Source organism: Homo sapiens, chromosome 3 (assembly GCF_000001405.40).
Source record: "Homo sapiens chromosome 3, GRCh38.p14 Primary Assembly".
NCBI lineage: Eukaryota > Metazoa > Chordata > Mammalia > Primates > Hominidae > Homo > Homo sapiens.
The window spans coordinates 9,297,269-9,311,589 of record NC_000003.12 but is presented as its reverse complement, the minus strand read 5'-3'; the positions used below and the strand labels follow the sequence as shown (position 1 = coordinate 9,311,589).

At 45.7% G+C, this 14,321-nt stretch overlaps 1 protein-coding gene across 1 annotated transcript in view, besides 1 other annotated feature; it reads left to right on the top strand.

Annotated features, from left to right (window-relative positions):
* Nucleotides 1-14,321, top strand: part of SRGAP3 (SLIT-ROBO Rho GTPase activating protein 3) — a 382,437-nt gene that overhangs the window by 51,438 nt on the left and 316,678 nt on the right. The gene's annotated exons all lie outside the window — the stretch shown is intronic.
* Nucleotides 8,730-8,839: a silencer, noted in NCBI's record as "silent region_14032". NCBI's record gives its function as "represses an Ori minimal core promoter by ATAC-STARR-seq in GM12878 lymphoblastoid cells {active_cell/tissue: GM12878}" and the evidence as "EXISTENCE:reporter gene assay evidence [ECO:0000049][PMID:35858748]".

Below are 14,321 nucleotides of genomic sequence, written 5' to 3'. Positions count from 1 at the left end.
ATAAATACAGTTGTATTTGGGTGCAGCCACACGCATTCATTGGTATATTGATGTGGCTGCTTTTGTACTGCACCTGCAGAGCTGAGTGGTTGCGACAGACTTGATGGATTGTAAAGCTCAAAATATTTACTAGCTGGCTCTTTGCAGAAAAAGTTGGCTGACCTCTATTTTACAGTAATGCCAAAGTTTCCTTCCCAAGTTGTCCTGAATAGTTTGTATTTTATGAGTGTGCACTTTTTCCTGAAGTACGTTACCTTGCACTTTACGTGTATTGAAATGTATCAGCCTCTTTTCTGCATATTCTTGCCTCTTCGCGATTATCTTCCTAGAGTTTATTACAATTAACTATTAACCATCTGGAAATTCAGGTGTCCTTTGTAAACCTGGAAGTGTCGGTGTATGTATCTTTTTTTTTTTTTTGAGCTGGAGTCTTGCTCTATCGCCCAGGCTGGAGTGCAGTGACGCAACCTGGGCTCACTGCAACCTCCACCTCCTGGGTTCAAGAGATTCTCCCACCTCAGCCTTCCGAGTAGCTGGGATTACAGGCACCCACCACCACACCCAGCTAATTTTTGTATTTTTAGTAGAGATGGGGTTTCACTATGTTGGCCAGGTTGGTCTTAAACTCCTGACTTCAAGTGATCTGCCCACCTCAGCCTCCCAAAGTGCTGGGATTACAGGTGTGAGCCACAGCACCTGGCCGACTGTATATATTATTCAGGAATCTTTAGATTGCAGGTAACAAAAACCTCATTCAAGCAGCTTAAAGAGTCAAGGGAATTATCACCTTCTATAATTGAAAAGTTAGGTTTAGGACTAGTTTCAGGTGAGGTTTGAGTTGACCTCTCAAATAATGTCCCTAAAGACCTAGTTTGATCCTTCTTTCTTCTCAGCAGTCAGCTGGTTTTCACTCTCTGGCCCTGCATGATGATTCCAGGTTCTTTTCTTGAGGTATCAACTGGTTATAGCAGTTCCAGACCTTGTAACCTTATATCACACCTTAGTGAAGAGGGGAATGTCTCTTTCACTAGCTCATGCAGAAGCACCTCTTCCCAGAAGCACTGGCAAACATCTCCTGGAGTGCCATTGGCCCTGATCGGGTTGCAGGCCCACACCTAAGCCAGTCTCTGTGGTCAAAGATGGGATACACTGATGAGCTTATGGTAACCAAGATCCACCTCTGCAGCTAGAGGTGGGTTATTCCTACCCAAACTGTGTGGCTGAAGACAACAGATAGGGATACTGTTGGCAGGAGAAGAGAGGAGTGGATGCTAGGAAAAGCACCAATAAGCATCCACTAGATTGGACATTCTACCTTTGTGCTTATACACAGCTCTGACCTTGGGGCCACTCCAATATTTACCCATGTTCATCCTGGGAAGTGTCTGTTTATTTCTACCTGTTCTTTGTGATGAAAAGGAAACCTGGTCCTGACTTGGCTCTGCTACCGATTAGCTTAATGAGCTCAGAGAAGTAACTTACTTTTCTCGTCCTCGGTTTTCTTTTCTGTATAACAAGAAAGGGATCAAACATGCTATGGTGAGTATTAATTCCACCAGTTTGTTAGGTGAGACTCAATGAGTAGATGTCAGGGTCCTCTCTAGGATGTTCTTAATGACTGTAACACCTTGTGCCCAGTACTTATTAGATGCTCAGTAAATATTTATTGCATGAATAAGTGAATGATCATGTTGGTGGACTAGCAGTTCCTTGTGGTTTTATCTCTTTTTTTTGAGACAGGGTCTCACTCTGTCACCCAGGCTGGAGTGCAGTGGTGATCATGGCTCCCTGCAGCCTCGACCTCCCATGTTCAAGCAGTCCTCCCACCACAGCCTTCTGAGTAGCTGGGACTACAGGTCTGTGCCCTCACATCTGTCTGATTTTCAAATTTTTGTAGAGATGGGGTCTCACTATGTTGCCAGGCTGGTCTGGAATGCCTAGGCTCAAGTGATCCTCCTGCCTTGGCCTCCCAAAGTGTTGGGATTACAGCCCTGAGCCACCACACCTGGCTAGCCTGTGGCTTTATCTTGATTCCTTTCAAATTTAGGTGAATGACATTGATCCTAATTTCCTGGATTCTCCCTGAAAGCGCAGGGTTGGAGGCTACTCTCTAAAGCAGTGTAATGTTAAGGAGGTGTCCTGGGTATGGCAATCAAACCGAGCAGGAAGGGGTATTATTGTCAAGGTTAACTAAAGTGCATAGAGGAAAGGAGGAAAGAGGGTAGTGAAGGTTACAGGGAAATAGGGATCAGAGGCTACTTCAGTATTAACTGCTGCCTAAGGAGACACTCCAAAAGTTAGTAGCTTAATACAACACTCTGTTGTTCCTCTTAGTTCTGTCATTTGACTAGGCAATTCTGCTGGTCTCACCCAAGGTCCCTCATGGGGTGCTCAGCCAGGATGCTAGGAGGGCTGGGTCTCACCCCACATGGTTTCTCATCATTCAGTTGTCTTGCCTGGTCTTACACAGCAAGTGAGTCCCCAAAAGGAGCATCCTGAGGGGACAAGCCTGAATGTGGAAGCACTTATCTAGCCTCTGTTTGAACCATACTTGGTAATGTTCCATTGGCCAAAGCAAAGTCATATGGCCAAGCCCAGAATCAGTGTGGGAGAGAACGACATATGAGGATGTGAATATCAGGATGCCTGGTTCACTGGGAAGCATCCAGAGAGGCTCAGGGATCCTGGTTTCTAAACCCATTGAAAGAGTGGGGCAAGGGTGTACATGATCGATGGGCTGTGGGGTTGGGATGGGGTGGAGGAGAGGCCAGGTCAAGAATGTTGACCACATTCCTGTTGACTAGCTTCATCCCTTGGTAGAGCCAAGGAATCACCGAGGAGACTATAATTCCCCATCATTTCCATCAGCCTCTGCTTCCTTTTATAGAAATACTTGGTGTCATTGCAGTCTTATTTAAGGTGCTGTGCAAACATGGCTTCAGCATAAGTTCCCAAGCTGAATATCCAACTAGACTGCTGCCTGTAAGTTCCACCTATATACACATTTTGGAATTACCACTGACCCTGTAAACAAGAGGAAATGAGATTTAGTGAATCACATGGGCCCTCAGTGATAATTGCTACCTTTGTTAAATGCTCATAAAAAGATCTGGCAGGCCCTCTTCTCTGAACTGCAGTTCTCCTTCTAGCTCTTTATTGTCCTTGGCCTTGGGAGTCATTTCAGTGCCCTTCTGATTATTTTGTTTTTCAAAGTGAAAACTTTACACACTGTTTTTCTTGGCTTTATAAATGTTATATGCTTTTTAAAACACCCAAACAACACAGACCAATATAAAGAAGAGTGTAAAATCCTCTTGAAAGTTCACCACCCAGAGGGTACCACTGTTGATGTGTTCATGAACATGCTTCAGTTGTCCCTCAGTGAACATACGTGCACACATGCAACAAATGGGATGGTGCTGTGGCCTGTTTTTTGAGACAGAGTCTAGCTCTGTCGACCAAACTGGAGTGCAGTGGCATGATCTCAGCTCACTGTAACTTATGCCTCCCGGGTTCAAGTGATTCTCCTGCCTCAGCCTCCCAAGTAGCTGGGATTACAGGCATGCACCACCACGTCCAGCTAATTTTTGTATTTTTAGTAGAGACGGGGTTTCGCCATATTGGCCAGGCTTGTCTCGAACTCCTGACCTTAAGTGATCCGCCCGCTTTGGCCTCCCAAAGTGCTGGGATTACAGGTGTGAGCTGCCACGCCCAGCCTGTGGCCTAACTTTTTAAACCCCATTTTATGAATGTGCAAATTTGTTCAATCCCACATTTATGGATACATGGGTTGTTTCTAACTTTTGCAATTCTGATTAAGTAATTTTTGATTCTCTGATTTTAAATATGCCCCTGAGGTTTTCCTTTCTCTGTCTGGAATCTATTCCTATTTTGCCAAAGATGCCATCTGTGTAGGCTTTCTTTTCTTTTGTCTCAGCAGCTTTCATCATGGACATACATTTTGTTTAGGACCTTTAATAGTACTCCTTTTATAAATGGTTTTCAAGTAATGTGTAATAGACTTTTAAAAGCTTGTTTTAATCTTCTCTTTAAATAGAGTATGCATTTTGGTTGACTAAACATTCACCTGTATAGCTGGGTCGTAGGTTCATGGGCTGCTCTCCCTCCCATTGTTCAGTCACATTGTGTGTAACCACGGTTACCAGGCTTGGTGTCATTACTTCCTTAAGGTGATTTCATGCCATCAGCATTTCCAGCCCCCAGGACCCCTGGCTGTTCACAGGCTAAACTCCTTCCAGAGGTTTGATGCCCTGGCGGTGCTGGAGTGGGGCAGGCAGTGACAGATCCTAACTGGGGGCTGGGCACAGTGGCTCATGCCTGTAATCCCAGCACTTTGGGAGGCTGAGGTGGGTGGATTGCTTGAGGCCAGGAGTTCAAGACCAGCCTGGCCAACATGGTGAAACCCCATCTCTACTAAAAACACAAAAAATAAGCCAGGCGTGATGGCACGTGCCTCTAGTCCCAACTACTCGGGAGGCTGTGGCAGGAGGACTGCTTGAGCCTGGGAGGCTGAGGCTACAGTAAGCCATGATTGCACCACTGTACTTCAGCCTGGGTAACAGAGCAAGACCCTATCTCAAAAAAGAAAAAAAAGTCATACAAGTGTGTAAAGAGCCGTGTATAATGATTACACATAAATATTTGAAAAACAAACATCTCGCTTATGAACGTATTTGAAAAACAAACATCTCTCTTAAGTCTCTAAGTTAAAAAAATACTTTATAGAATGACATGTATAATAGGTTGTCATTTTTGTGACTTTTTTTTGTGGCAGCCAGGAGATTGTGCTGCTCAGGTCAGGTTTAAGAGAGGACCTCCTCCTCAGAAATAGCACCACACATCTACAACCATCTGATCTTTGACAAACCTGACAAAAACAAGAAATGGGGAAGGGATTTCCTATTTAATAAATGGTGCTGGGAAAACTGGCTAGCCATAGGTAGAAAGCTGAAACTGGATCCCTTCCTTAACACCTTATACAAAAATTAATTCAAGATGGATTAAAGACTTAAATGTTATACCTAAAACCATAAAAACCCTAGAAGAAAACCTAGGCAATACCATTCAGGACATAGGCATGGGCAAGGACTTCAATGACTAAAACACCAAAAGCAAGGGCAACAAAAGCCAAAATAGACAAATGGGATCTAATTAAACTAAAGAGCTTCTGCATGGCAAAAGAAAGTACCATCAGAGTGAACAGGCAACCTACAGAATGGGAGAAAATTTTTGCAATCTACCCATCTGACAAAGGGCTAATATCCAGAGTCTACAAAGAACTTAAACAAATTTACAGAAAAAAATCAAACAACCCCATCAAAAAGTGGGCAAAGGATATGAACAGACGCTTCTCAAAAGAAGACATTTATGCAGCCAAAAAACACATGAAAAAATGCTCGTCATCACTGGTCATCAGAGAAATGCAGATCAAAACCACAATGAGATGCCATCTCACGCCATTTGGAATGGAGATCATTAAAAATTCAAGAAACAACAGATGATGGAGAGGATGTGGAGAAGAAATAGGAACACTTTTACATTGTTGGTGGGAGTGTAAATTAGTTCAACCATTGTGGAAGACAGTGTGGTGATTCCTCAAGGATCTAGAACTGGAAATACCATTTGACTTAGCAAACCCATTGCTGGGTATATACCCAAAGGATTATAAATCATGCCACTATAAAGACACATGCACACGTATGTTTATTGCGGCACTATTCACAATAGCAAAGACTTGGAACCAGCCCAAATGTCTATCAATGATAGACTGGATTAAGGAAATGTGGCACATATACACCATGGAATACTATGCAGCCCTAAAAACGGATGAGTTCATGTCCTTTGCAGGGACATGGATGAAACTGGAAACCATCATTCTCAGCAAACTATCACAAGGACAGAAAACCAAACACTGCATGTTCTCACTTATAGGTGGGAATTGAACAATGAGAACACCTGGACACAGGGTGGGGAACATCACACACTGGGGCCTGTCGGGGGGTGGGAGACTGGGGGACGGATAGCATTAGGAGAAATATCTAATGTAAATGACAAGTTGATGGGTGCAGCAAACCAACATGGCACATGTATACCTATGTACCAAACCTGCACATTGTGCACATGTACCCTAGAACTTAAAGTATAATAAAAAAATAAAAATAAAAAACAGCAACAAAAAAAATCTAAAAAAAAAAAAAAAAAAAAAGAGAGGACCTCCTGTGAGGGCTGTGGGTAGCTTCAGCCCCTCCCTGTTACACCGCAGCGTTCGCGTGGAGGTCACACTCTTCTTGAGCTGCCCTCACCAGTGACTGAGCACCAGGAGGACACTACAGTCCCGAAGCCTGAGGCTCTTCCTGCCCAATCCTTCCTCCCCTTCTCTCTTCTTTGGTGGCAGACCTGCAGCAGGGTCTGAGACTTTCTGGGCCTGCTCCTATTCCCTCACTCCTTTATCCTTCTTAGATGTTTCTTCCAATTAGTCTTTTGTATGTCTAATTTTGTCTTAGCGTCAGCTTCCTGGAAGGCCCAACCTGACATTTCTTTGTTCTCAGGACCCTGACATAATGGAGATGGAACAACCTCTGAAGGTTGTTGTGAGGATTAAATGAGGTATTGTTGAGAAAGGCTTAGCAGAAGGCCAGCACAGAGGAGGAGCTTAGTGATATTATTCCCCAGGTGAGCAGGTGGAGAATGGTATCTGTCAGATGTCAGTTTCATTAGCTGTTGCAACCCAGTGGACTGTCCCTGAATACCTGTCCCCTGGGAGTTTCTTCAGGAATAAGGGACTCAAAATTGGAAATGGGAAGCCCTGGGAAGATGCATCCCAGGCCCTCAGGGAGTGAGCATACGACCTCTGGAAGAAACTCCTGGTTTTGGGGAGGTCCTAGTGCGGAGGGGGAGAAGCCCAAATGGGAGGCTTTGAGCTTTATCCCTCACTGACAACAGCACCGGCCACTCGCTGTAGCTTGGAGGAGAGAGCCAAGGGCAGCAGAACATGGTGAACCTGGGCGTCAGAGTAAAATCCCAGCTCTGCCATTTACTACCTACCCACCAGGGCTGCTGTTAGATTTAAGATGCTAAAGATAGAATGCTGAGCACAGAGTGAATGTCTAAGACCTACTAGTTCCACTCCCCTCCCCGATACCATTTTCATTCTACCGTTCTTGTAACTACTCTGGGTTTGAGAATTATGGCAGGAGACTGTGCTAAGGAGCCAAAGTCTAATCTCTGGATTGCTGAGAATAAAAGGAAGGTCTGGGGAAAGAAAGGAGGGAGGGCAAGTGGGCATGAAGAAGAACAGAGCTTTCATTAGGCAAGTGTTTATGGGCAACCCCCACGTGCCAGGCTCTCTGCTGGGTGTTGGGTTATGCAGGTGATTAGGACACAGGCACTGTTCTTAAGGAGCTCAGGTGCTGAAGGGGAAGTTACTGTTGTGGACTAACTGGTCTGTAAGTCGTACATGGGGTCCCGTACCACAGGCAGGCACAGAGCTTGGCAGCAGTGCGACCCTGGACAGAATTGTTTGTGAAACGTCTCCCCTTCCAGACGAAGTTATTATAGCTCTTGTGATTTTGTGTGGTGCCTAGATTTCCCCCGTTGTACACTCAGTTCAGGAGTACTTACTCAAGTCTCACTCAAGGGCATGGGGACCCCAAACACCTTGTTCATGTGCACCCCAGGGCCCAGCACACTGTAGGCAGATGTGTGTTGACTGAGTGGTCTTCAGTTTCCTTATTTTAAGATGAAGATAATGTTGATCTTAACAGGCTGTTGTGTGGATTAAATGAAGTAATGTTTATCAAGTGTAAATCGCCTTCCAAATGTTATTATTGTAGACTTTTCAAATTGGTGCAGTCTCTTGTGGATTAAGCCAGTGACTTGAGCAGTCATTCTATACCTTCCTCATGGCTATTTTGAAGATTAAATAAATTAATATAAATAAAATGCTTAGAACAAGGCTTATCACATCACAAACACTCAAAAAGTGTTAGCTAAATCAACAAGGATAAAATTTCAGGTATGCAAGATGATTAAGTTTTAGAGATCTCTATATAGGTGTAGTATATAGTTAATACTGCTGTATTGTGTACTGGAAAATCCATTAAGAGGGTAGGTCTTATGTTAAGTGTTCTTTTTTTTTTTTTTTTGAGATGGAGTCTCACTCTGTCGCCCAGGCTGGAGTGCAGTGGTGCGATCTCAGCTTGCTGCAACCTCCACCTCCCGGGTTCAAGCAATTCTCCTGCTTCAGCCTCCTCAGTAGCTGGGACTACAGGCATGCGCCACCATGCCCAGCTAATTTGCGTACTTTTAGTAGAGATGGGGTTTTACCATGTTGGCCAGGCTGGTCTTGAACTCCTGGCCTCAAGTAATCTGCCCGCCTAGGCCTCCCAAAGTGCTGGGATTACAGACATGAGCCACCGCGCCTGGCACGTGTTCTTGCCACAATTAAAAACAAACAAACAAACAAACAAACAAATGTAAAGGAAAAAATATAAGTAAGAAAAAATCGAGGCAGTGTTACAGCTTGTCAGAGTGCTCAGAACAAATGCTGTATAACTTCTAGAATTTATCATCTACATTGGTTTATAACCATTTACTATTTCAAAAGTGGTGACAAAAGGTGGTGGTGGGAGATATTAGGTACTTTAAGTATTATCTTCGTTGCCATTCTTCGGTGTCATTTTACCCATTCGAATTCTGAGGTTCAGAGAACTGAAGCCCCTTGCTCGGATTGCAGAGCCTCTCCCCCTTGTACCCGGGAGACTGTTCCTAGTGGCTGTTCTGGGACATTCTCAGAGCGGTTCGCCAGGTGGCGCTCTTCCCCCGGGATAGGATCCGGCCAAGACCCACCCCGCGGCAGACGCTAGCCCTTCCTCACTGCAAGAACCTGGCGTTCTACAGCCAGCAGGGGTTTTGAGCGTGTCTAAGCTCTCATTTTAGAGGGAGAGAAATAAAGCTCTGCGAGAGTATGTCCCTGGGCTCAGAGCCACCCACAGGCTCCAGGTGGTGCTGGGGCGGAGTCCCAGTTTATCCAGTGACGAATCCCATTTGCCTCTTACCTCCCTGCGGCATCCTGACCTAGCTCCCCACGCCCACCTGAGCCCCTTCCTTGCAGACACCATGTCATGCCTGGCTGCAGCTGGGCAGAGCGAAGTGCTTCTCTGCCGAGCTGTCGCAAAGCTCCACTATCTAGGAGTAGAGCGAGTGTTTGGGAGCAGGGCAAGCGTTTAGGCAGGCTGGGGAGGGGTGAGGGGGATACCCAGGGACGCACCCTCCCGTTTCTCATTCGTCTCTAGCTGCAGTCAGAAGCAGTGTATGCACTGCTAAGGCCAGGGCCCCTGGAGTCAAACTGCCTTCGCGGAAACCCTTGGCCTCCCCTTACCCAGCAGTGGGCCCTGGGGGCTCACTAAGTTTCCCATCTCTAAAATGGGAATAGTAATACTTACCTCATTGGGTCACCGTGGGGACTCGGTGAACGTACATAAGGCACTGAGGACGGTTGTAAGCACATGATAAGCACAATAAAAATGTTAGCTCTCGGCAAGACGACTCACCAGCACCCTACCTGGATAGAAGAGTTTAGGTGAGAATTTCAGGATGATTCATCATACTCCTCGCCTATTCACTCACCCCACAATATCCTTTCAGAGTAACAACTGCCGTTTATTGGCAGTTATGCCAGGCAGTATGCGAAACCTGTGATTTCCATGATCTCAATTAATCCGCAGATCAACCCTGTGAAGTAGGTACTATTATTGTTCCTCTCTCATGGTTGAGGCTTACACAAGATTAAGTCATTTATCCCAGGTCACGCAGTTAATGACAGAAGTGCGTCCCACGCTCATTCCTGTCTGGTGCCAAAGATGAAGCTTTTTACTACTACTCAATATTCTACCTCCTCTTGAAGCCAGTTAAAAACAACAAACACAGCCCCTCAACAAACACAGGCTCCCAAAGGAGCCACAGGCATCAGCCGTGCTCACTGTAATTCTACAGGACCCACCCCTTACAGAAACCATGGTCTGTAGAGTGAGATTTCTTTCTGCTCTTACGTGGCACAAAAGAGAGAATTTTACAGATGTCTCCCTGCTCCCCTGCAAAGTGCTTTGACTGACACAGAGGCCTCTACACATTAAAGCTAAGTTAGCCATGGAGCCTTTAAGGGCCACCTTCCCCTCTTCCTGTTTCTTCTGAACCTCAAGGCCACCCATCTGGGCAGGCGGGGGACCTGCATCTCAGGCATGTGCGTTAACTTAACTTCTGGGCCATCCCGGATGTAATGCAAGGGCTCAGTGACTCAGGCCAGTCTATCTGGGATTTGTCCTCTCTTGGCATGTGAGAGTCTGTGCAGCATTGACATCTTTTGGCCATGAATGAAACAACAGGAACCAACCTACAAATGCAGAATCCCAGAAAGTCAGGGCCGGAAGAGGCTGTAGGAAGTTAAAAAACGAAACTTCACCAAGGGAAGGGTCTTGATGAGGATCACATTGAGAGGAAGGAAGGTGACCAGATTTAAGCCCTTTTTTAACTTCCATACCTTCCTGGTACCCTCTGCTCCCAGAGGTGCTGAGCTGGGAGGGGTGGGAGTGGGCAGCCAGGTTGCTAAGCTTGTGCATTCAGTCAGGTGTCTCTTTCTTCCCCTCCCCAGCATGTGATTATCCTCTAAAACAAGACTTCTCAACCTCAGCATAGCCCAGACATTTAGGGTTGGATCATTCCTTGTTGTGGCAGCGGTCCTGTGCATTGTCTGATGCTGAGCACAATATTTGTCCACTACCCACCACCCACTGGTTTCCAGTAACACTTCCTTCTCCCACTCTGTTGCATGACAACCAAAAATGTCTTCAAACATCATGAAATATCTCCTGGGGGACAAAATTTCTCCCCTCTCTCCCTTCTGTTGAGAACCACTACTCCAAAAGCAGACTCCTTCCTCCTTCCCTTCCTGGAACACATCTTAAGAGCTTGGTATATGCCATGCTTTGCTGGCTCATGAATCAAGCCCTGGCTCTGTCCTTAAACAATTCAGAGTCTAGCTGAGGAGACAAGGCCCACACAGGTGGCAAAGATGGGAAGCCTCTCCACAGAGACAAGGGCGAGGTGCCCAAAGGAGCACAGGGGCAGATGCCTCACTGTCTGGGGAGATGTGAGGAAGCGTCACAGAAGGACAGATGGCAATTTCTCAGGCAGGCAAGGTGGGTAAAGGACATTCCAGGCAGAAGAAATGGAATGTACAAAGGTAAAGAGTTGTGAAGTGTGAAGTTTTGGGGAAAAATATTTTAGTATGACTGTACTCCAGAGTGCACATGAGGAGAGATTAAGGAAAGGGGCTGGAGAGTCAGGCAGCACAAGTTGATGATAGTGTTGTTGGTGGTGGTGATGATGGTGGTGATGATGAAGATGATGATGGTGGTGGTGACGATGGTGGCTAACACATATAGAGCACTTAGCGTATGCCAGACATTGTTCCAAGTATTTCTCATACATTATCTCTTAATTTTCATGGCAATCCTTTGAGGAAGGTGCTATCATTACCTCAGTTTACATATGGGAAAAATGTTGCAGAGAGATGAAGTAACATGCCAAAGTCACATAGCTTGTGAAGGTTCCTTGTGAGCCCTGAGAAATTTGGCTATGGAGAGCTAAGGGTGTTTGTTTGTTTTTGAGATAGAGTCTCACTCTGTCGCCCAGGCTAGAGTGCACTGGTGTGATGTTGGCTCACCGCAACCTCCGCCTCCCAGGTTCAATCTCCTGCCTCAGCCTCCTGAGTAGCAGGGATTACAGGTGTGTGCCACCATGCCTGGCTAATTTTTGTATTTTTAGTGGAGATGGGGTTTCACCATGTTGGCCAGGCTGGTCTCGAACTCCTAAGCTCAGATGATCCACCTGCCTCAGCCTCCCAAAGTGCTGGGATTACAGGCGTGAGCCACCTCACCTGGCCGAGCCAAGGATCTTAAGTAGAGCAGCAACATGATCAGTGTTTCAGTTATTTTTAGCTGTATAATAAACCACCAAAAACGTACTTGCCTACCACCAGCGTTTTATGATAGCTCATGATTCTGTGGGTTGGCTGGGGCTCAGCTGGGTTGTTCTTCCACTAGTCTGGCTTTTGCAGTGGCAGTAACATGGTGGATGGGGATGCTAGTTGGGGCTGGATGTCTACTATCTTGAAGTTTCTTTTCTTTTCTTTTCTTTTTTTTTTTTTTTTTGGGACGGAGTCTCGCTCTGCCACCAGGCTGGAGTGCAGTGGCGCGATCTTGGCTCACTGCAGTCTCCGCCTCTCGAGTTCAAGCAATTCTCCTGCCTCAGACTCCCGTGTAGCTGGGACTACAGGCATGCACCAGCATGCCCAGCTAATTTTTTGTATTTTAGTAGAGACAGGGTTTCACTGTGTTGGCCAGGATGATCTTGATCTCCTGACCTCGTGATCCATCCGGCTCGGCCTCCCAAAGTGCTGTGATTACAGGTGTGAGCCACCATGCCCAGCCATCTATTTTCTTTTTTTTTTTTTTTTTTTGAGATGGAGTCTCACTCTGTCACCCAGGCTGGAGTGCAGTGGCATGATCTCAGCTTACTGCAACTTCTGCCTCCCTGGTTCAAGCGATTCTCCCACTTCAGCCTCCCGAGTAGCCAGGATTACAGGTACCCACCACCACGCCCGGCTAATTTTTCTATTTTTAGTAGAGATGGGGTTTCACCATGTTGGCCAGGCTGGTCTCAAACTCCTGGCCTCAAGTGATCTGCCTGCCTCGGCCTCCCAAAATGCTGAGATTACAGGCATGAGCCATGCCACCTGGCCTTAATGTTTTTTCATGTGGCTGCTATTTCTCTCTCTATCTAAATCCTTCTAGGTCTTTCCCTGTGACCACTCTCTCCAGCAGAGTAGCCCGTCCTTGGTGGCTCAAGCTGCCAGGCCTTCTTAATGCCTAAACCTGAAAGTCCCAGGACATCATTTCCTCTGCATTGTACTGGTCAAATGGTTACAAGATTTATGGAAAGGGTACATAGGATCCATTTCTGGTAGAAGGAGGGGCATGTGCATACAGGGAGGGGTGGAATTGTTTGGCCATCTTTGGATACTAGCTATCACAGCCAGATTTTTATAGGGAAGAATGTTCTGGCAGCATTATGTAGGGTGTTTTGAAGAGAGCAAGACTAAAGACATGATGATGAATTATGAAGTCATGGATAATTCTAGTTGAGTTAGTCAGCTAGCTTCTCTTTTTCCTTCTGTTACTGTGGAAAGACCAGAGTAATTATGTTTTAATAGTAATAATAATAAAACAATAATCCTACTAACCTACATTTCTTGAGCACATACTGTGTGCCAAGCACTATGGTAAGTACATTTCTCCACAATTTAATACAGTTATCTCACGAGATATATATATTCCTATTTTATCTTTCAGAAAACTGAGGTCAAGTGTATTAGTGTGCTAAGGCTGCCATAACTGTAAGTACTACTGACTAGGTGGTGTAAGCAACAGACATTAATTTTCTCACAATTCTGGATGCTAAAAGTCCAAGATCAAGGTGTCAGCAGGGTTGGTGTCTTCTGAGGCTTATCTCCTTGGCGTGTAGGTGGCCTTCTTATTCCTTGGTCTTCACATAGTCTTCCTTCAATGCACATCTATGTCCTAATTTTCATACTCTCTTTCTCTTTTTTTTTTTTTGAGACTGAGTCTCACTCTGTTGCCCAGGCTAGAGTGCAGTAGTGCCATCTTGGCTCACTGCAACCTCTGCCTCCTGGGTTCTAGCGATTCTCGTGCCTCAGCCTCCTGAGTAGCTGGGACTACAGGCACACGCCACAATGCCCAGCTAATTTTTGCATTTTTAGTAGAGATGGGGTTTCACCACGTTGGCCAGGCTGGTCTCGAACTCCTGACCTCAAGTGATCCATCTGCCTCGGGCTCCCAAAGTGCTGGGATTATAGGCGTGGGTCACCGTGCCTGGCCCTAATTTTCTCTTTTTTTTAAGGAAACAGGTCATGTTGGATTAGGGTCCACCTGAATGACCTTATTTTAATTATCTTGTTAAAAGACTCTGTCTCCAAATTTAGTCACATTCTGAGGTACTAGGAGTTAGGATTTCAACATGTGCATTTTGGAGACACACAATTCAGCCTATAATATTATGTAATTAGTTTATCCTCATGTAGATAATAGGTGGGAAGTCAGACTTTAACCCAAATTTGCCTGACTTCAAGCTCCTGCTATTAACTACCCTGTATATTATTCTTACCCACAAGTGTCTTTAGTTTTTGCCCCAAGCAGGAAAATAGCAAGGTGGAGGAGGACACT